General features: G+C 38.4%; 1 protein-coding gene across 6 annotated transcripts in view; it reads right to left on the reverse strand.

Moving 5' to 3' along the window:
- Positions 1-482: 482 nt before the first annotated feature.
- Positions 483-20,331, reverse strand: part of PARP11 (poly(ADP-ribose) polymerase family member 11) — a 64,539-nt gene continuing 44,690 nt past the window's right edge. For 3 of the 6 annotated variants that reach the window (NM_001286521.2, NM_020367.6, NM_001286522.2), the window contains 5 exons: positions 17,780-17,855; positions 13,707-13,779; positions 13,495-13,625; positions 5,659-5,810; positions 483-4,061 (listed from right to left, as the gene is read on the reverse strand). In NM_001286521.2, the coding sequence (NP_001273450.1) occupies positions 3,745-4,061; positions 5,659-5,810; positions 13,495-13,625; positions 13,707-13,779; positions 17,780-17,855 (749 nt within the window). In that variant the 3' untranslated portion in view covers positions 483-3,744. Of the gene's footprint in view, positions 4,062-5,658; positions 5,811-5,850; positions 6,676-13,494; positions 13,626-13,706; positions 13,780-17,779; positions 17,856-20,331 lie in introns of those variants that run through there. The other 3 variants (NR_104461.2, XM_047429175.1, XM_047429176.1) reach the window with 3 other exon arrangements.

Below are 20,331 nucleotides of genomic sequence, written 5' to 3' on the forward strand. Positions count from 1 at the left end.
ACCTGAGGAGAGCCTTTGATACCATCCTTTCTTGCCAAAGGTTGAACGGAATGTTTAACTCAGTTCAACAGGAATGATGGTAGACACAGTGCGAGTGGCTGGAGGTTAGATGGGCTGTAGGAAGGATACTCCTTGGATGAAGGCAGACACACCCTACAGAGCTGTTCCGCTGAGCCAGGGGAGCACACCAAGAATAAAAAATGCTGCAGATGCCAACTCTTGGCCTGTTTGGGGATTTTTTTTTATAATAGCACACAGTAAATGATTTTTCCCATAGGTTATTTGATTAGCTATTGCTCATGATGATTCAAACTAAGAACAAGAGACTTCCCCCATCCGCAAGTGGGGTACATATGAGTTACAGGCAACAAACTCCTTGGGTCCACTAAGATTGAGCTGAAAACTTAGGTTTAAATAATACAAGGTGGAGATGAGATACATAAGTCACAGAAACAAATATATGATATACACAGACAACCAAGAACTGCTAATGGAGAGCTTTAATCATCACATGTAAAAGCAATACATTCATATATCAAAATTGGCTCCAAATTCTTTATCATCATCACCATCAACAGTCTAGAAATGAAATGACACACTAATATAAAACTTTCCTGTTTATAACTAAAAGATTTATGAAACTTTTTTTTTTACCCTGAGGCTGATATCACCAAGGTGAAAAAGAAAAGTCATTATCAGCTGGAATGTATTCAATATAGAGTTTTAAAAACCATTTATCATTATTCTAGGTTTATGTCTATTCATTCTCCCCACCCACTCTATGGGATGATAACAGGAAAAGATGGCAAATGGTTGTGTCCAGTATTATTATATACTGGTTATATAATTCTCAAATGTACTGATTATATGATTCTCGATTTAATCTACTTACCAAAACAAAGAAATAAAATTTTAACATCCATTAACTCTGTACTATCATATTTTAAAATATGTATCAAAATCAGTTCTCTCTTATAAAAGAGGGGTTGGCAGTACATTCTCAGACCAAACAACAACAACAAGCCCCAAAAAACCGGTATAGTACCTTCTTACAATGGCTACTGCAGTGCATTCTACATATTTCATAGAAACCAACTAGGTAAGTTCAGCGTTCGCAGAGATTGCCTCACAGATACTTAGCTCTGGGTTCCTAGTCACCTTGAGATAAGATCTGCAAAGTCTAAAAGAAAAACAACTCCCAAATGCTGTAACAGTTTTTCCATTCAAGTGCTGAGAGAGCTATGCATATAAAACTTGAAAAAAGATAGCCATGTTGAAGGGAGGACTATTTTAATGTGGTTTTTTGGTATGTAAATTACAAATAAATCGAAAAAAAGATTTTCAAAACCTGAATTCCTAATGTCTCTAACATTGTTTTTTGTGAACGGGTTTAGAGCCATGGTATGCTGCCTCTCACAAAGCAGCCTAGTGACTTTGTCTCCAATTATTTTCATGATAATCTCTAGATGCTTTTTAAAGCGCTTTTTCTAAATATTCTCAGCACTTCATCTAAACCAGCAGCTGGGGTGCATACCTGAGCCAGGAAATCTTTGTTGCCACTTTGTTTCAAAGTATTGTACATGCAATGTCCTGGGTACTACTTACCTCCCACTGCACAATTACACATATGCTGGTCTATAACGGAAATCTGGGATAGATGGCACTTTAAGAATTACTATCCCTAATCTGTCTGCACTCTTTGCTTTTATTATTTGTAGATCCCTTTCTAATTCAAATGATTCAAGTGAGCAATATAAGCATAGACACTGGAATTTTTCTAAGAAGTTAAATTGTGTACACTAACTCTCAGCCAAAATTGGGTGAGGATAATAGAGAGAAAATTCAGCATTAGAAGGAGTTAAGAGAAAAGCTTTCTGAAAAAGGCTTGGTATACGTGCTGTCTTTTAAAGGCAGAATCATAGAAAATCAGGCCGGGTACAGCGGCTCATGCCTGTAATCTCAGCACTTTGGAAGGCTGAGGCAGGCGGATCACCTGAGGTCAGGAGTTTGAGATCAGCCTGGCCAACATGACAAAACCCCGCCTCTACTAAAAATACAAAAATTAGCCGGGCATGGTGGTATGCACCTGTAGTCCCAGTAACTGGAGAAGCTGAGGCAAGAGAATTGCTTGAACCCGGGAGGTGGAGGTTGCAGTGAGCCGAGATCACACCACTGCACTGCAGCCTGGGCAACAGAGCAAGACTCTGCCAAACCAAAAAAAAAGAAAGAAAAAGAAAAAGGGAGGAGGGAGGGAGGGAGGGAGGGAAAGAAGGAAGGAAGGAAGGAAGGAAGGAAGGAAGGAAGGAAAGAAAGAAGGAAGGAAGAGAGAGAGAAGAGAAGAGAAAGAGAAAGAGAAAGAGGAAGAGAAAAAGGAAGAGAGAGAAAGAGGAAGAGGAGAGGAAGAGAAGAGGAAGAGGAAGACAGAAGAGAAGAGAAAGAAGAGAAGAGAAAGAGGAGAGAAGAGAAGGAGGAGAGAAGAGGAGAAAAGGAAGAAAATCAATGTGAGAGACTCTTCACCATCACATGGGCAATTCCCCATCTGGTACTTAACTCCTATGCAACATGCCCGCCAAGTTGCTGTCTCGCCTCTGCTAGAATACCTTTAGGGGAGGGAAGCTGTTCCAACACTTCTCATCTTCCTTACAATGAAACAGCAAAACAGATGGAACAGGTAAACAAATTTCCACTAAACATGATTAAGAATTATATCTAACTTTTCAAGAGAGTAGGTTGTCAACAGCTACTTCAAAGGAGAAACCAGATTTGTCTCAAGCATCCCATGCTTTCTATAATGTTTCAAAATGGAGAGATACAAATTTGAAATATGAATTTTAGAAATCATTGTTGAATAGCTGTGTGTGCTGCAGAGGGGAAGGTAAAAAAAAATCTTAGAAGTGATCATTGTAGGGACTCTTTTTAAAACAAAAGGAAAATAAATGTTTGAATAATAATTTAAAGTTTCACTTTGAAGATGCAATAAACACCTTGCACAGCAAGTCGTGGTGTAAGAATCCAAGAGCCCTGATGGATGAAGTGTAGGCTAATGACATTTTGCAGCAATTATCAATTCAGATGTGGGAGACAGAGGAGAATGACAGGATCAAGTCTGAGGCTGCAGCCTGCTATCCTAAGGCAACTGGAAAGTGGGGCATTCTACCTTGATTTTCTCCTTCTGGCTTGTTTGACAGCACTGCAAATAATTGTCTTGTTTCTGATTTCTCTCAAGGTGCTCAGACTGTTTCAGAGTTTTAAATCCCCCCTTCAGAAGACCAACAAAGCAACAGATGGATTGGTGGATGATACTACTACCTGAATTCAATTTACAAAGGATCAATTCCTCTAAAGGGACACATTTATGTCTGTATTTTTTTTCAACATTTATACGAATAAGTCTATTTAAACTAAAATCATTTATCCTGATAACACACACGTAAACTTTAAAGATCTCAATGACCACATTAGTTGAGACTCAGCTGATTCCATTTTGAATGGTATCTTTCACCCCTATGTGTTAAAACATCAATGATATCAACTTTTAACAAACAAGACTACAAGAAACAGGCAAAAACAAAACAACAAAAACCAACCTTGAAGTCAGTATGTCTTTTTATATGGAGGCCACTTTTTTTCATATCTGTTTCAAAAGTATCAGATAATTAACATTTAGTGGCTAGATGACTGAAGAGCAAACCTTCCTGCAAAAAAGAATAAAGCTTCCTTGACCACCGAGATTTGGAAGTGAAATCAATGAAAGTCTATCAAGTACTCAGGATAGATTTGGTTGGCATCAAAAACCACAAAGATCTTTGGGTTCCAGGTATCATCCACACAGCTGTCATATAAATTCACATAGCTCCCGTCTTTGGAAGGAGGTCGCATGTATTTGGAGTCTCCGTTTATGTAATCTCCAATTAGCACTCGAGCAAGAAACATAGATTTATATGTTCTAAACAGATGCCGCTGTTGCAAGCTGACACCATGAATTTGGAATGTGTTCCCATGCTTTATGTCATCTTTGCAGAAACGACTGGAATAAGCAGCATCTCTAGCAAAATAGGTTCCTTAAACAAAGAGGACCAAGAAAAGCCAAGATTACTCCGAAGAATATATTAAAAACAAGCAAAAACATTTTGTCAGGAGAATAGATGCATAGAATTGTATAATAAAAATAGATGTGGAATTTCCTCATCTGCAGATCTTTAAGAGAAGAATAGAAATCCATCTGTTATGGACAGCTGTAGTATAGACTGCCATAGGAATAGATTTGTTGGTACAGACCAGTCCTCACCACCAACACCATCCCCTGCCCCCACCAAAATATAGCTATCAGACTTCTGTTTTTAAAATAAATCTTACAAAGAAAACAATTAATAAAACAGATAAAACTGGTTTAATGATTAAAAGTGTGGTTGGACCTGAGTTTTGTTTTGTTCTGTTTTTTTGAGACAGAGTCTTGCTCTGTCTCCCAAGCTGGAGTGCAGTGGCGCGATCTCAGCTCACTGCAACCTCCGCCTCCCAGGTTCAAGCGATTCTCCTCCCTCAGCCTCCTGAGTAGCTGGGATTACAGGCGCGTGCCACCACACCCAACTAATTTTTATATTTTTTTAGTAGAGACAGGGTTTCACCATGTTGGCCAGGCTGATCTTGAACTCTTGACCTCAGGTGATCCACCTGCCTCGACCTCCCAAACTGCTGGGATTACAGGCGTGAGCCACCATGCCCGGCCCTGAGTTTTACTGCTTGGCCCTCCCTCCCGTTTCTATTTCCTTTCACCACTTCCTCACCCTGTTCCCTTGTCAACATCCAGCAAAGCTCTAGAGAGCACAGTGGAAACCGATGGCCTACAGGGATTCTTTTAAACCCCAAGAAACCGTATTTCTATGATATGGGATAACAATTCAGTAATATTTCTGGAAACAATAGAATCCCATATCCATGAAAAGATTTCTGAGAGAGTATAATGCTATTCATATCTGAGCATTCCAAAACAAAAATGATTTTACTGGCTCACTGCCTACACATGAAAACTCGATAAAGCAGCCAACTCTTCTGAAATGGTAGACACAAGAGATAGACATCATTAAGGGCATTCTTACTCTAAAAAAATGTGGAAATGAATTGCAAAGTCTCATATTTACCTAACACTGATGGGATTTATGTAACACCTTCTGACCTCCTTACAGTTAAATAAGTGGAATGGCCTTTTTAGTAGTTATTTTTTAAATTAATTTACATTTTCAAAATGCAGCATATCCTGATCCTAAACAGTAGTCAGTTCTCTTGCTGGAAGCAAGGTACAAAGTAAGGACCAGAAAATTAAATGTACATCCCATACCTTTTCCCCTCACCTCTCTCCTTAATTTGCCTGAGTACCAGACATAAATTGAAAAACTTGGATTTTCACAACATTATAAATAACGTGAAGTTTTCCCCCACTATTCCTTATTGCTCACTAATATTCTTACCTATGATTTTCTTAAAAACAAAATAAAACAAAAACACTAGTATCTATTCTCGTACACAATGCAATTATAATCCATTTGTTTTATCATTCTCTATATATTTGCCATAAAGCAGTTCATATTTATATTTATATTCCTCTAAAAAGAGGAAACTCTCTCCTGGGGCTCAAATTGGACCTGGAATTCTGATAATTACCTTTTCCAAAGACAGCACCATGTATACCATTTATTCTCCAATCAAAGTTATGAATGCAGATTGCTTCCACAAATTCACTGCTGGTACCATGAAACAGCATTTGTTCATTAATCTGAGGCACACCTCTTTTTTTCTTGAGCTGAGCCTTTTTCCTAAAAACACAATATACACAGACACAAAAGCACACAGAAATATACCATAAGTAGCATTTATTAATCTTAATGAGCAAGGTTCAATAGAAAGCGTAAAACAGGAAATACTTTAATATAAATAACAAGTGGACAAAGCAAGTCTAGAAAAGAAATAATTTCAAATGTTCTTGGACACATAAATCATCTCATCAAAAATTATTAGTTAACACTGAAACTTAAGGTTGAAAATTATGCCAAAAACTATAGTTATCCCATGCTATGCCCCAATATCATAAAGGTAATTGATTGTCTAAACCAGCTAACCTTTATAGATGCCTAAAAATGAGACAACAAACAAGTAATACAAAGTTTGCAGAGACTTTAGACAGTGAATTCCTTGAGCAGGGATCATGTCATATGCTTTTTATCCTCAGAAACTAGAAAATGTTGGTTCAGTTGACTAAATTTTGCACCATAGGGTTGGGAGGGACATTAAGCCATCCAGTTTAATCCTCTTCCCAAGGATAAATCTATCCTAACACATAAAAGCATATTTAATGTAGGACTGATTGTAACAGAAAACAAAAACTGAAAACAGCCTAAAATTATTTCACAGAGAAATGAATATAGTCATGTATTTACATATAAAAGTTAAAAGTAATGAAGTAGATCTATGTGCATTAACATAGTAAATCTTAAAAAATAATATTGAATGTAAAAAGAATTTTGCAAAAAGAGATAGAGAACTCAAAATAATACTGTGTATTATGTAGGTATACATACACAGGTAGTAAAAAATACAAAATACAAACAATAAGGCACCATACCAATCTCAGGAGGAAAGAAGGAGAGTAGGACAGGGATGGAGTAAACACTTCACCTGTATCTGTGTGAAGAGGAAGGAAATGTGACAAGTATCAAAATGTTAAATCTGATTGGTAGATACATGGGAGTCTGCAAACTATTTGCTGCATTTTCATTCTTGAAACATTTCATAAAAATCATATTTTAAAAATTAAAAAGAATCCCCTCCCCCGGCTTCTGATAGCTCTTTAATGCCTGCTTCAATTCATCCAGTGTCAAGTACTCACAGCATCACGTGCTCACTTTGCAAAACAGCACAATTTATTTGTGATCAGCTGTAATAGTTGGAAAGTACATCCATCTCAATGCCAAACCAAATCTGCCTTCTGTTACTTCTATTGATTGGTCTTAGTTATTCTCTTATGAACATTAACAACTCAAATCACTCTTACACAAAACAACATTGCAAATTTGAACACCTACCTAGGCTTTCTTTTCTTGGTTAAATATACACCATTCCTTCAACCACTCCTGACACAGCATAGCTTCTAGGTCTTTCTTTATCCCAACAGTCTTTAGTTAACAAGAATCTGCTGGATACTTTCTAGTTTATAAATGTTGGCATGAAATAGCAACAGTCCAGATATCATCAGACAGCACTGACTCCACCGACACCACTGAATGTATTTTGGTAACAGGGCAGCAAACTGCATCCATAATCAAGTGTGTAGTCGGTTAAAACTCCCAGGACTTTTCCAAACCAGACCTCTCTTAGCTTGCTAAATCTGTGCAACTGATTTATAAACTGAATGCAATAGATTTCAGTTAAGCTTTACTTGATATAGTAATTTAAAAAGTAAAAATTAAATAACAGTAAAATATCCGTATCTCAGACTGAGTTCTGTAAATGATAGGCAGCTCGTTGAATATGTTTGGGAATGGATACCTGCATTTAAATGGTGACAGAGATGAAAACGCATACGGTCTTTCTCAAGAGTCACTTGGCAGTATGTATCAAAATTTAAATGTATATGCTTTGATCTATTTGTGACAGTCTTTTCAGACCATTAAGCATGACATCAGAAGGTCGTGCATTTAGCAAATGTTTACTTTACAAAAAGTCAGCATGCTTTCACTAAGAACTTCCTTTTTCAGAACTTTATGTTCTCACTTTTTTTAAACAAGGCGCATTTGTTCCCTTTATAAAAACAAACGAAAAAAGTTTTTTAAATTAAAAAAAGAAGATAATACTTGTTTTTACCCACTGTTTCAATCTTCCAAGGTCTTTCTGACTGCTGATTCACTCACTCAACAAATAAGCTACCCCTTCTAGTTTTGAATCCCTCACAAGTGTGATAAGCAAGCCCTCTACATTTTCATCCATTTCTGATAAAAATTTTGAAGGATCCAAGAAGAGAGCATGCATGCCTTTCGAGTTACTCTTTGCGTAAGACTTTTTGTCTACTAGTTTTTCTCTTTGAAATACCCACCAGCACATATTTCTCCATCTTGTCTTCCTGAAAAGAAACTTTCTCAACCACTATAAAGTGAGAAACCAAGCTAGACTGTCTAAGGGGCCTATCCATCTACCACTATGGTAATCCTATTAGTTAGTTTGGCATTAGTGAATCCATACTGGTTTTCTCAAAGAAACATTAGTATCATACATAATGCCAGGCTTCATGGTCTGTAATGTCAAACTTGTCAATGTTGTGCTTCATGATCTGCAATGACTAGAATCCACTCTAAGGAAATTCTGTCTCTACTAAAAGATACAAAAATTAGCTGGGTGTGGTGGCACACACCTGTAATCCCAGCTACTTGGGAGGCTGAGGCAGGAGAATTACTTGAATCCAGGAGGCGGAGGTTGTAATGAGCTGAGATTGTGCCACCGCACTGCAGCCTGGGGAACAGAGCAAGACTCCATCTCAAAAAGAAGGCCAGGCGCAGAGGCTCACGCCTGTAATTCCAGCACTTTGGGAGGCTGAGGTGGGCGGATCACGAGGTCAGAAGATCCAGACCATCCTAGCTAACATGGTGAAACCCTGTCTCTACTAAAAATACAAAAAATTAGCCAGGCGTGGTGGCGGGCGCCTGTAGTCCCAGCTACTCAGGAGGCTGAGGCAGGAGAATGGCATGAACCCCGGAGGCGGAACTTGCAGTGAGCTGAGATCGCGCCACTGCACTCCAGCTTGGGTGTCAGAAAGAGATTCTGTCTCAAAAAAAAAAAAATTCATTTATCACTACTTTTCGGGCACAAATTCGATTGAATCTCGGTTTGAAAATTCACTGGAGTTTCTCTTAGATATTATAAATAAACTGTGGGTTAAAGGGCATGGAGTATGGGCATAGGCAGGCATGGAAAACAACGCTTACTTACTAGATTAGATGGTGCATATATACCAGTTGAAGGCAGAGGGCAGGGGCATGGTGGTTAAAGCTTTGTATCCCCACAGCACAGTTTGTTCTAGTGCCCACTACTCCCACTACTAAGGCAGCCACGAAATGCGGACATTCACAGACTATGACCTTGGTGTTCCAGAAAGGCTAAAGGTGATTTCCAGGGCCTCATGAACTTTAGTTACATCTGCAAGGAAAGTCACAGAACTACACTAAGTTCTTCACAACCCTGCCCACCTTTGCCCAGATCCACAATCATTCCCGAACTTACTGAAAGTACTGTCGCACCCACTTCTCAAAGATGTCTCAAAATTATCCACCTCTTAGGGACTAGAGTGCCAAACTGGCTAAAGTGTGTATGCCACATGCTCTGCACTGGAGCAAGAATACTTTCATGCTCTGGATTAAAATAAATTTGCCTAGATTTAGAACACCTGTCATCCTGCTGAACATCAGAGCCACTTATGGAATTTTTTAAGGTAAAAATGTCAGAACCCAGAGGTTCTGATTCAGTAGATCTGTGGCGGGTGACAGGTATCTCTACTTGCTAGTAAATTCCACTGGCGATTCTGACCTGCAACTAGCTTTGAGAATCTCTGATCTAAATTCACATTATTAACAAGATGCTCTTATTTCCTTGCTGCCTTATACTTCCCAGCTCTGGATCAATCCAACCATTTCCACTATCTGCCCTTACATTTGTACTGCTGAAGTACATTACATAACATGGTTTGCCCTATAAATTCACATACTTTAGCTAAGCCCTCAACGCTGACAGAAATCCTGTGGTTCCCAAGACAGCTCGTTCTACCCCATTTTCCACAGTAGCCATTTCAAATCTCCTCTTTCCCCTTTTCTTTCCCTCTTATCAACACCTCCCTACACTTCATTCGCTGTAGGTGACCTCCCTTCTTCCTTCACAAAAGAAACGGAAGGTATCAGAAAAGAACTCCTTAACCTAACTCCTCTTTTCGTCCTCTACCTCTACTTATCTGTAAACATAACTGGACCACCCTTCTCTATCTCCTTTCTGACATATGTTCTCAGAATTTCATCTCACCACACTTCTTCAGGAGCTAGAATCCATCAACTGCCCTTCCACTCTTTCTCTAAGTCTTTTAAATTCTCCTTCTCCATAGGTCCTTTCCAATTACAATGTTCAGTTCTCTCCCATGATTAAATTTTAAAAACATAACATAACAATAATCCCACATTAGCTGTCTTCTCACATCTCTCATCCTCCTCACTGCCAAGCTTCTTGAAAAAGTTGTCAACATTTGCTGTATACACAATATGATGTCTACCAACCTTGCCTTCATCTAAGTTACCAATGGCCTTCTTATTGAAAAATGCAAAGGAACTTTTCAAATTTATCTTACTTGACATCTTTTCAGTATGTAATCGTACAGATGGCACCTACTTGTGTAAACCACATTCTCCCTCCAGCTTCTGTGATTACATCTTCTATTGGTTTTCTCCCGCTTTCTGTGGTTGTCAGTTTCCTCCTTGGGTTTTCTCTTCCTCTGTTCATCCCTTCCAGAATTTGACCCTTGGCCCTCTTCTTTTCTTAATGTACATACGCTCCCTGGTCATCTTCTTCATTCCTATAGTTTCTATTACCCCACATTTTCTAACAACTCCAAAACCTTTGTCTCTAGTCTACACCACTCTTCTCAACTCCTGACCCATATGTCAACTGCTGTATATCAACTAATACTCCCTTTCCATCATCCCTAAAGATGTCCCTACTGATATTCCCTTAGTCAAGTAAAACAAGCCAAAAACTTGGGAGTTATCTTTCTCATCTCCCTTATTCACTCCATCGCATACAATAAGTGAGGCGCCAAGCCCTACCATTCTATAATCTTAATACCTCAAAACTCTCTTCTTTGCTCCAACACAGCAGATACCACTTTGGGTCAGGCAACCCAACGTGTCTCAGTTTAATTACTGAAACAATTTCCTAAACTGGTCTCTCTGCTATGAACTGGGATTTCAATTACTGAGATTTTGTGTTGGACACTTCTTTGTTGTGAAAGGCTTCTTCTTTGTTGTGTCATGCATTGTAGGATGTTTAGCATCCTGGCTTCTATCCAGTAGATGCCAGGAGCACCCCCACCCTGCCATATTAACAATCAAAAATGACTCCAGTCATTACCAAATGTCCCCCAGCAGGTAAAATCACTCCCAGTTGAGAACCACTGCTTTAAATCCCTTCTCCACCACACAGCCTAATTATTTTTCTAAAATGCAGATCAGATCCATCACTCTCTTGCTTAAAGTTCTACAATGGCATTCTACTGTCCCAGGAAAAAATCCAAACCTCTTAGTTTAGCTTATAAGGCCCCACGTGGTCTAGCCCCCGCTAACTCTCTGACTTCCACTCTGGTTCAATCCAACTCAACTAAGGCTACTAAAGACGATCACACAACCACCCCAGTGGTGCTACTACAAACTCCTGCATGCTCTGCCTCTTGATACCATTCTAGCCTCCTCTCTCACCATTCTACCTAATTTCTGTTCAATCTGAAGCTGCTTCAATTTTCTGCGCTCCCTCTTATATCCAGACTTTGGTTCTTACTGCCCCTGATGCCTGAGATGCCCTTCTCCTATCCAACTGGTGTCTGGGGCTCCCTAATTCTACCCACTCCACTCCACATCCCCTACTTTTGTTGGCAAAGGTGGATGGGTCCCCTCACTTTGTGCTCCCATGACTCCCTGTGCTGACCCCTACATTTCTGTGTTACAATGGTCTGGCTCTCCAAGCTATGGTTCTCTGTACCATTATATCCCAAGTGCCCAGAACAGTGCTTGTCATAAAGTAGGTACTAAGACATTTTTGTTAGAAGAAGTGGGGAAAGTAAGAGAGGCCTAGGCAATTTGAAAACTATTGCTGGATGGACTCACGTGGGCCTGACTACCTATATGGTGAGTCATAGGTTATGTGACAGTGAGACAGACAAAGTTATTTTAGTTCTTCAGGATGATGTCAAAATGACACGCTGCCCTTATAATGAGACTCAGTATTTTGTACTGTCATGGCAGGTGGCAGGTTCACTTACCATCACAGATTTCTATGTCATTATGTAATTTATGTCATTACATAAAACCGTGAAGGGCATCACCAGAGTAAAACTGTTCCCATTGGAATTCTTAGTATAAAATGTTCTAGGGAGTCACTGGTACATTTTTACCACTATGATTTAACTGGGGACTCAAGTTATGGGGGAGACCAATTTGATCTCCACTTCAGAGGGCTGATGAAGAATAATGAATTAAATTTTCATCAGACTATTTCAGAAAAACTTACTTTATTCACTGAGAGAATAAAGTCAAAGGAGGCAGAGGCTTCTGTCTTCCTCTATAAAAGAATCATCTAAACAAGAACTAAATTAAACTGTCTAAACTCAGTTAAACTCAGTTATTGTCAGAAATAAAAGTTGGTTTGGCCAATAGACCCAAGACTATAAAGAACACAAGCTGAAAGCCCCTTATTACCATAAACTATTATGAGAATAAAACCTGAAATGTACGCAGGCCATATTAACTAGTCAGAACCATGAAAGAATTCCATGTATCATTACCAAACAAAAGTCAGCCTAATTCTCAGGTATATAGAAATGAAATGAGTTATGGTCTGGGATTTGCTTAAAAATACTTCAGCAACAACAATAATAACAAAAAAGGAGATAGTTTATGTGTGGTAAATCTTGATAGGTGTTGAATCAGGATGACGGATACATGAGGTTCATTATATTAGACTCTACTTTTGTGTTTATTTGCAATTTCTCTGAATAAAAAGTTAAAAGTCAGCTTACATATTTAAAAATATTAGACACCAAATCTCATCTACAAATGTTAATTGAAAATATTTCAGAGAACCGCTTATTTTAATTTTTTACATGTCATAAAAAATATGGCAGAACAGGCTAATTTGGATAATACCTTTAATAGCTTAAAGTTTTCTGTAATGGACTTTACTTTGGTTAAGTCACCCAACTTAATGGGTCATTTCCCACTTAAATCCAGTAAGGAATTGAGATTTTAAATCTACAAAATAAACTTTAGGCTAAGCAGGAAATTTGAAGGTATGTTTTAAAGTGTTCTTTAAAATAAAACAGACAAAAGACTATTGGCAAGATAGTATGATTTAAAAACAAAACAGTGTTTGCAGAGACTTCTAATAAAAGGCTTAGCCAAGGAAGTCATATCAACAAAGCTAAACAGCTCTGACACTCCTCTGTAATGCTGATTTCAGCCAAGATGCATAGCTCTAAACCTTGAAAGGAAGGAGCTTCTCACATTGCAATGCTACAAGCAAAGTTTACAGAGCACCTCTTTCACTCCCTGAGAATGCTGAAGAGCCTTGAGACCAGGTCAAAATACGGCAAGAGAAAAACAGCATGTCTACACCACTGAAAATTAATACAATTCAATATTTATGTTTTAACCATAAAAGACATAGTGGAAAGGAGAAGTTTCAGATTAGAAATCATCTCACCTGCAAAAGAACTCCCACAAATCTAGGTTTTGAATTCTCTGAATTCTTTTAATTCGGTTGCGATCCATCGTCTTCCCAAAGAGATTAGCAACTTCATTATATTCATGTGTTTGATTGTGCAGAGGAATAAGCTGGAAAAATAAATTTGCATAGATTTACTGCAGTCATTTCCGGTTTCTTTCATGGGTATATTCAGTCAATTCTGCTCTTACCTGATATGGTACTTGAGTATTCACATTCTCCCAGTGTGGTGGCATAGGGATGGCCTCGTTTTCACAGATGTAACTTGAAACAGCAAAAGAGAAAACAAAATATCAGAAGCCGATTACAATTACTGTCAAGAACTTAGCCCTTCTTCAAAGCTTAATTTTCATTTTCAGGGTATTGTGACAAATGCAATTAAATACAGCCTTCCGTTTCTTCATTTAAAAATTATTGACTGTCGGCCGGGCGCGGTGGCTCACGCCTGTAATCCCAGCACTTTGGGAGGCCGAGGCGAGCGGATCACGAGGTCAGGAGATCGAGACCATCCTGGCTAACACGGTGAAACCCCGTCTCTACTAAAAATACAAAAAAATTAGCCAGGCGTGGGGGCGGGCGCCTGTAGTCCCAGCTACTCGGGAGGCTGAGGCAGGAGAATGGCGTGAACCCGGGAGGCGGAGCTTGCAGTGAGCCGAGATTGCGCCACTGCACTCCAGCCTGGGCGACAGGGCGAGACTCCGTCTCAAAAAAAAAAAAAAAAAAATTATTGACTGTCTATGTGTGCTACTTTTTAGGTGTTCAATAGTGAACTTTTGATGGAAAATATCCAACCCTATATATCATAAAAATTTCAAAAACAGTTGCTTAGTTCTGTCTTGTTTTTTTTGAAATTTCCAAAATTTCTTTAAAATGTAAAGAAGATTTTAGGCAAAGAAATTAAAAACAAAATCAAGCTCCTGATGAAAACAAAAGGCTGAAACTCGTATTTATATTGTCTATTGAATAAAATCAAAACTCCTCAACCATTCATTCGATGTTCTCCAAGTTCTAACTCAAACCTAAACCCTTCTCTGTTAATTGCCCACTATTCTCTCCAACAGTCCACTACCTTTAAGGGTTATTAGCACAGTCAGTCAGTAAATCTTAAAAACTATCAGACATGTTCAAGCCACCCGATGTGAATACAGAAAAACAGTGATGTTGAGGGATTTAATAGCAAAAGGCTGAACATGACACACCAATCGCCTCCAGTGATTGGAGGTTACTAAATAAATTAATAAATTTCAAACCGATCTTTAGTTTACTTTTTTCAAACTTATTTTAATGAAAAAAATCAAATAGGTGATTTAAAAATTAATATGTGTGAAGAAATATACAGTGAGAAGTTTTCCTCCCACTCCAGTCCCTGGTATGTCCAAGTCTCACTTTTTGCCCCATCTCCTGGTAATTAGTTTCTTGGGTATTCTTCCAGAGCTTCTTTAGGTTAATACAAGCCAAGCTTTTTGCTCACACAGATGGTAGCATAAAGCATACATTTATTGCACCTGTTTTTTTGGTTTTTACTTCATAGCTTCTTAGAGATCTTTCTGTAACAGTGCATAGAGAGCATCATTATTCCTAGTGCTTACGACAGAGCCTGGCACATAGTACACACTCAGTAAGTACTGGATGAATGAATGAATGCATTCTATTTTACAGACGCACAGAACTCCGCCATGTGGATACACCATAATAATATTTAGCTTGCCTCCAACTTTTTGCTACTGCATTAAGAAAGCTGGCTGGGCGCGGTGGCTCATGCCTATAATCCCAACACTTTGGGAGGCAGAGGCAGATGGATTGCCTGAGCTTAGGAGTTCGAGACCAGCCTGGGCAACAGAGTGAAACCCCATCTCTACTAAAATACAAAAAAGTAGCCAGGCATGGTGGCGTGCGGCTGTAATCTCAGCTACTCGGGAGGCTGAGACAGGAGAATCACTTGAACCTGGGAGGCGGAGGCTGCAGTGAGCCAAGATGGCACCACTGCACTCCAGCCTGGGCAACAGAGTAAGACTCTGTCTCAAAAAAAAAAAAAAAATGCTACAGGAACACATTTGTTCATCTGTCATGTTACATGTCCACTTGTTTATCTGTAAAATAACATATTTGAAACAGAATTTCTGAGTCAAAGAATATATTTTTTCATGATTTTAACAGACACCAACCAAATGCTGTCTTTGAATGTACCTACTGACATTCTCACCAGAAATATAGAAATCATCTGTTTTCCCACAACCACTCCAAAAAGGTGTGTGATCAAACTTTTGAATTTTAGTCAATCTGGTAGTAAAAATTAGTCTGGTATTAATTTGTTTTTCTCCTATTATGAGTGAGGTTGTATGAACTGTTCAAATTGTTTGCCCATGTTGATCTTCTATTTAGAGAGTCCTAAAAGTACTTCATATAATATGGAGAATATCCCTTCAACTACAACAATGAATAAAAATATTTCCCCAATTTTCTGTGAGGGAAAAAAATGCCTAAAACACACTTGGCCTAAAGTATCTTTTAGCTATGACCAAAAAATTTTTTTAGTTTTTATGTAGTCAACAGCCTTAAAGAACTCCTTGCCAACAGGAAGCATGTATTACCTACCTTGCATGTGATAAATGCTCAATGTATTCCCACAGTAAATAAATATTTCTATATCAGCACCTACTGACCTTCAACACCCTATTGTATCTTACCTAAACAGTCCTCTCCTTTTATTATTATCTTGCTTATTGTCCTCCATTCTGCTTAGTTCTCTCCTTGTGCTGTCTTTGTTCTATGGTTTGTACAGTCTGTGACAGAACAAAGTGTTTGATCCCATCACAGTGTTTCTTGTCTCCACCAAAGCACAGCAGATACAATGTACAATTACAATAACATCTTCCATTATTATGTCTCATTTTTCATTTTTCTCCCAGATTAAATACTTTCTGAAGATAAGTAATTCTTTTATTATATTATTTGTACTAAAGAATGTGGATATGACGTAGCTAGTAAGGAAATACTATTCTCTATATTCCACAGAAGTACTAGAGCATTCATTTTATAAGTACTTGGAATAACTTTTATATCGTGATGCTAAAATAAAACCAAAATAAATGCTAAAATAAAACCAAAAGTCTTGAGAAACAAACTGACAGAAACTTAAAATATTTCTTTCTTTAATCCTTTCAAAAATCTCCTTGGAAGGAGCAAATAGGCATTCCCTGCAATTAACATGCTACCTTTTTTTTTTTCCAGTTTCATTTTAAATTATTTGAACAAAAAAGAATTTCAATACTTGCTTGAAGAGTCATTTTAGAAAATAGGAGACATGCTTTAAGATTTTTTCCTTCAAGTCCATTCATTCACATGAATAATAAATATGTATTGTCTTCTGACATTTATACCTCCTTTTTCAGACTTCTTATGGCCAGAGCAAGCAAAAAAGAAAATTTGTAACCAAGTTCCAGGGAACAGAAAGCAATACTGTTGTCCACTGTTCTACCATCTTCCCTATGGCTCCCTTAGTCTCTACAAATTTGAAATTACTTCTAGGAGTTGACCAATGGAGATCAATGTAGGTGGAAACAAAGTGAACAACTACCTAATTCTTACGGCCCCAGTAATTGTATGGCTCTGAGAGAGTACGTCCAAGTTAACAATTTAAACTTACCTCAGTGAGTTATTTTATGAGTTTAGAGCAGAGACCATAAGGCATTTTGTAACTGCAAACTGTTCTAAAGAATTAAAAAATGTAAATATACAAGAAGGAAAAGGATAACATGAAAGGAAGCACTTAGAGTAAATAATAATGTTGCTATTTTGTCAACAAATGAGAGATTTGATATTTTTTTAATTAATTAGTTTATTTTTTTGAGATGGAGTCTCACTCTGTCGCCCAGGTTGGAGTGGCGCAGTGGTGCCATCTCGGCTCACTTCAAGCTCCGCCTCACGGGTTCACACCATTCTCCTGACTCAGCCTCCCGAGTAGCTGGGACCACAGGCACCTGCCACCACATCCAGCTAATTTTTTTTGTATTTTTAGTAGAGACGGGGATTCACCGTGTGTTAGCCAAGATGGTCTCGATCTCCTGACTCGTGATCAGGCCGCCTCGGCCTCCCAAAGTGCTGGGATTACAGGTGTGAGCCACTGCGCCTGGCCCAAGATTTGATATTTAAAAGATCAATATTATTAAATGACCTACCAAAATATTTCCAGTCTATTTGTTTTTCTGTCCAATAGTAAGAAAAAAAAAACCCACTCTTTCCACCCCTATTCTCTTTACCATACCTGAAAGCACTGATAGAAAAGGGGGCTCTTTTTATTAAGCGCTGCTTTCCAGTGGTGAGATTCATTTGCTTCATTTCTGTATACAAAGACAAGATATTAGATAAGTCATAAAAGTACACTGTACTATAAAGTGTCATGAAGATTAATAGCCACGCTACGCGATGATCAGGAATCATGGAGCTTCGGGAGTAGCTGGCAAGCATAGTGTATTATGGGTACTTTACCATGCAGCTAGCTATGTACCACGTTGTGGAGGTGTTATTCAAGGAAGCACAGCTTCATTGCTTGACGTAAGCTCACACATAAAGATGCTCATTTCATCCACTGCTCAGTATGCACGGTCTATTCCCCTTCTGTATCACACTTAGGTTAAACAGACACTAAACTAGGAGAGTTCTAAACTTAGGAAAGCTAAGAGTACTAGAAAGAGAGAAATTACAGTATTAAATGTGGTTGGTTTATTAAGAAGAAAAATGTACTTTCATCTCTCCAAAAATTTTGGAAATGATTATAAAACTTGTACAACTCACAGAATTTCAAAAATTTCTACATTTCCTGATTTCTCTTTAATTATATAACTAAACCTAAAAAATAGAAAACCTGGCTAGACCCAGTACAAACTTACATAAAAAGATTCTAGTGATAAGAGACTAAGTACTTAAAGGTATCATTTTCTGCTTTCATCCATGCCTCAGTCATACCAATATTTACCAGGTCCATTTCTTCATTCCTCAAAGTTAAGTAGTGATTCTTAATGTAAGATTCTAGCCAGTTTATCTCATCTAATTGACATCATTCCATTTCAAAATGATTATGTTTACCCACCCAGGCTAAGGCTAGTATAAAGTGTGTTCTGTCCTTTCTGTGTTCTCCTAGACTCTACACATACTGGATTTACCACTGTTCAGGGAAAAAGCAAGATCATCTCAGCATGTGGAGCAAGACCTGTGATGCCATCTTCTTGGACCATCTCATTTTTTAGTTTACTTTTCACCATTTTTATAGAGAAAACCTGAGTTGGCTAGTGGCAGAATGGTTGGAGCTGATAACTGCAAAGAGTACATGTGAAATGCTAATATCCATGCCTCTGAAACAGGATCATTACACAGAGGGTTGGGGAACTCCAGTTATTAGTATATGTAACTCCCATTCCTTAATAATGATATTTTTAATAAACTCTTTTTTCTGAGAGCAAGTTTCCAAAAAGTGTAGTCTACTAAAAAATATTCTTTCAGAAACATGTGGCTTGCTGAATTACCTATCAAATGCTTTGATACAGTTCATCCTCTACATGAGGTCTGGTGTCTGTGCATATCATTCGGTTTCAGTTCTTCCTCAAAAATACTTGTACACATGACTAAAAATGCCTACCAGATACCTTCTGCCTAGACTGCAACAGAGGGACAAATGTCAGGGCCTCTTAAATCCTGCTTATTTGCCTAATGGCATTAAAAAAAAAATGGCTTGTCACGAGCAAGGATCTAATGGTTTTTAACTCTTGATAATTAAAAAAAAAAGCAAGAAAAACAACTTTGGTGGGATAATAATTATTGCATATTTGGTTCCATCAATCCCTTACTGGACAAATCCCCTTCACTGTTTCTGGGCCTTGGTTCATCCAAGGGGATTTCCTAACGTTTCACCACCCTACCCAGCCACAATACACTACTAACACTGTCATAAAGACACTACTCACAGGAATTGAGAAAGAACAGCTAAAGGACCAAGCTGTGTAGCAAACAAAATGTACTTTTATTAAGAAAGCCTCCCATCCAGGTCTTGTTTGCCTCTAAGCAATAAATAGCTGAAACTAACAGCCTGAAACTTGAGGAGCTCAGTTCATCAGGTTTTTCATGGGATACCCCAAAACATGCCCATATAACACAGATGAAATCCAAAGTGGGGCTGATTTCCAGATTATCTGGCTAATCTGTGGAAGAGCCAAATCAATCAGAAAATGACAGAAGGCAATGTCCATTAAAGAAATTGTTTTCTGACAAAGACATCGAGAGAAAGATCACTCAGCTAAAAGTTGTTCTTGAAACTATTGCCAGCTACCTATGACTTTCTCACTTAACATCTGTTTGATCCTTAAAGTAAAAAAGTTCTGGCCAGGCAAGGTGGCTCACGCCTGTAATCCCAGCACTTTGGGAGGTGGAGGCGGGTGGATCAGGAGGTCAGGAGTTCAAGACCAGCCTTGTCAACATGATGAAACGCTGTCTCTACTAAAAATACAAAAAAATTAGCCGGGTGTGGGGGCGGGTGCCTGTAATCCCAGCTACTCGGGAGGCTGAGGCAGAGAATTGCTTGAACCCGGGAGGCGGAGGCTGCAGTGAGCCGAGATCATGCCACTGCACACCAGCCTGGGCAACACAGTGAGACGTCTCAAAAAAAAAAAAAAAAAAAGTAAAAATGTTCTTAAATGTTCTTATCTATTTCAAAAGACTGATGGGATGAATAAAACAACTGATACGGTGTTTTGTGTTCCTTAGAAGACAAGTATTAAATGCACTTAATATATAAGACAATCTTCACATACATTAATATATACA

Source organism: Homo sapiens, chromosome 12, assembly GCF_000001405.40.
Source record: "Homo sapiens chromosome 12, GRCh38.p14 Primary Assembly".
Classification (NCBI taxonomy): domain Eukaryota; kingdom Metazoa; phylum Chordata; class Mammalia; order Primates; family Hominidae; genus Homo; species Homo sapiens.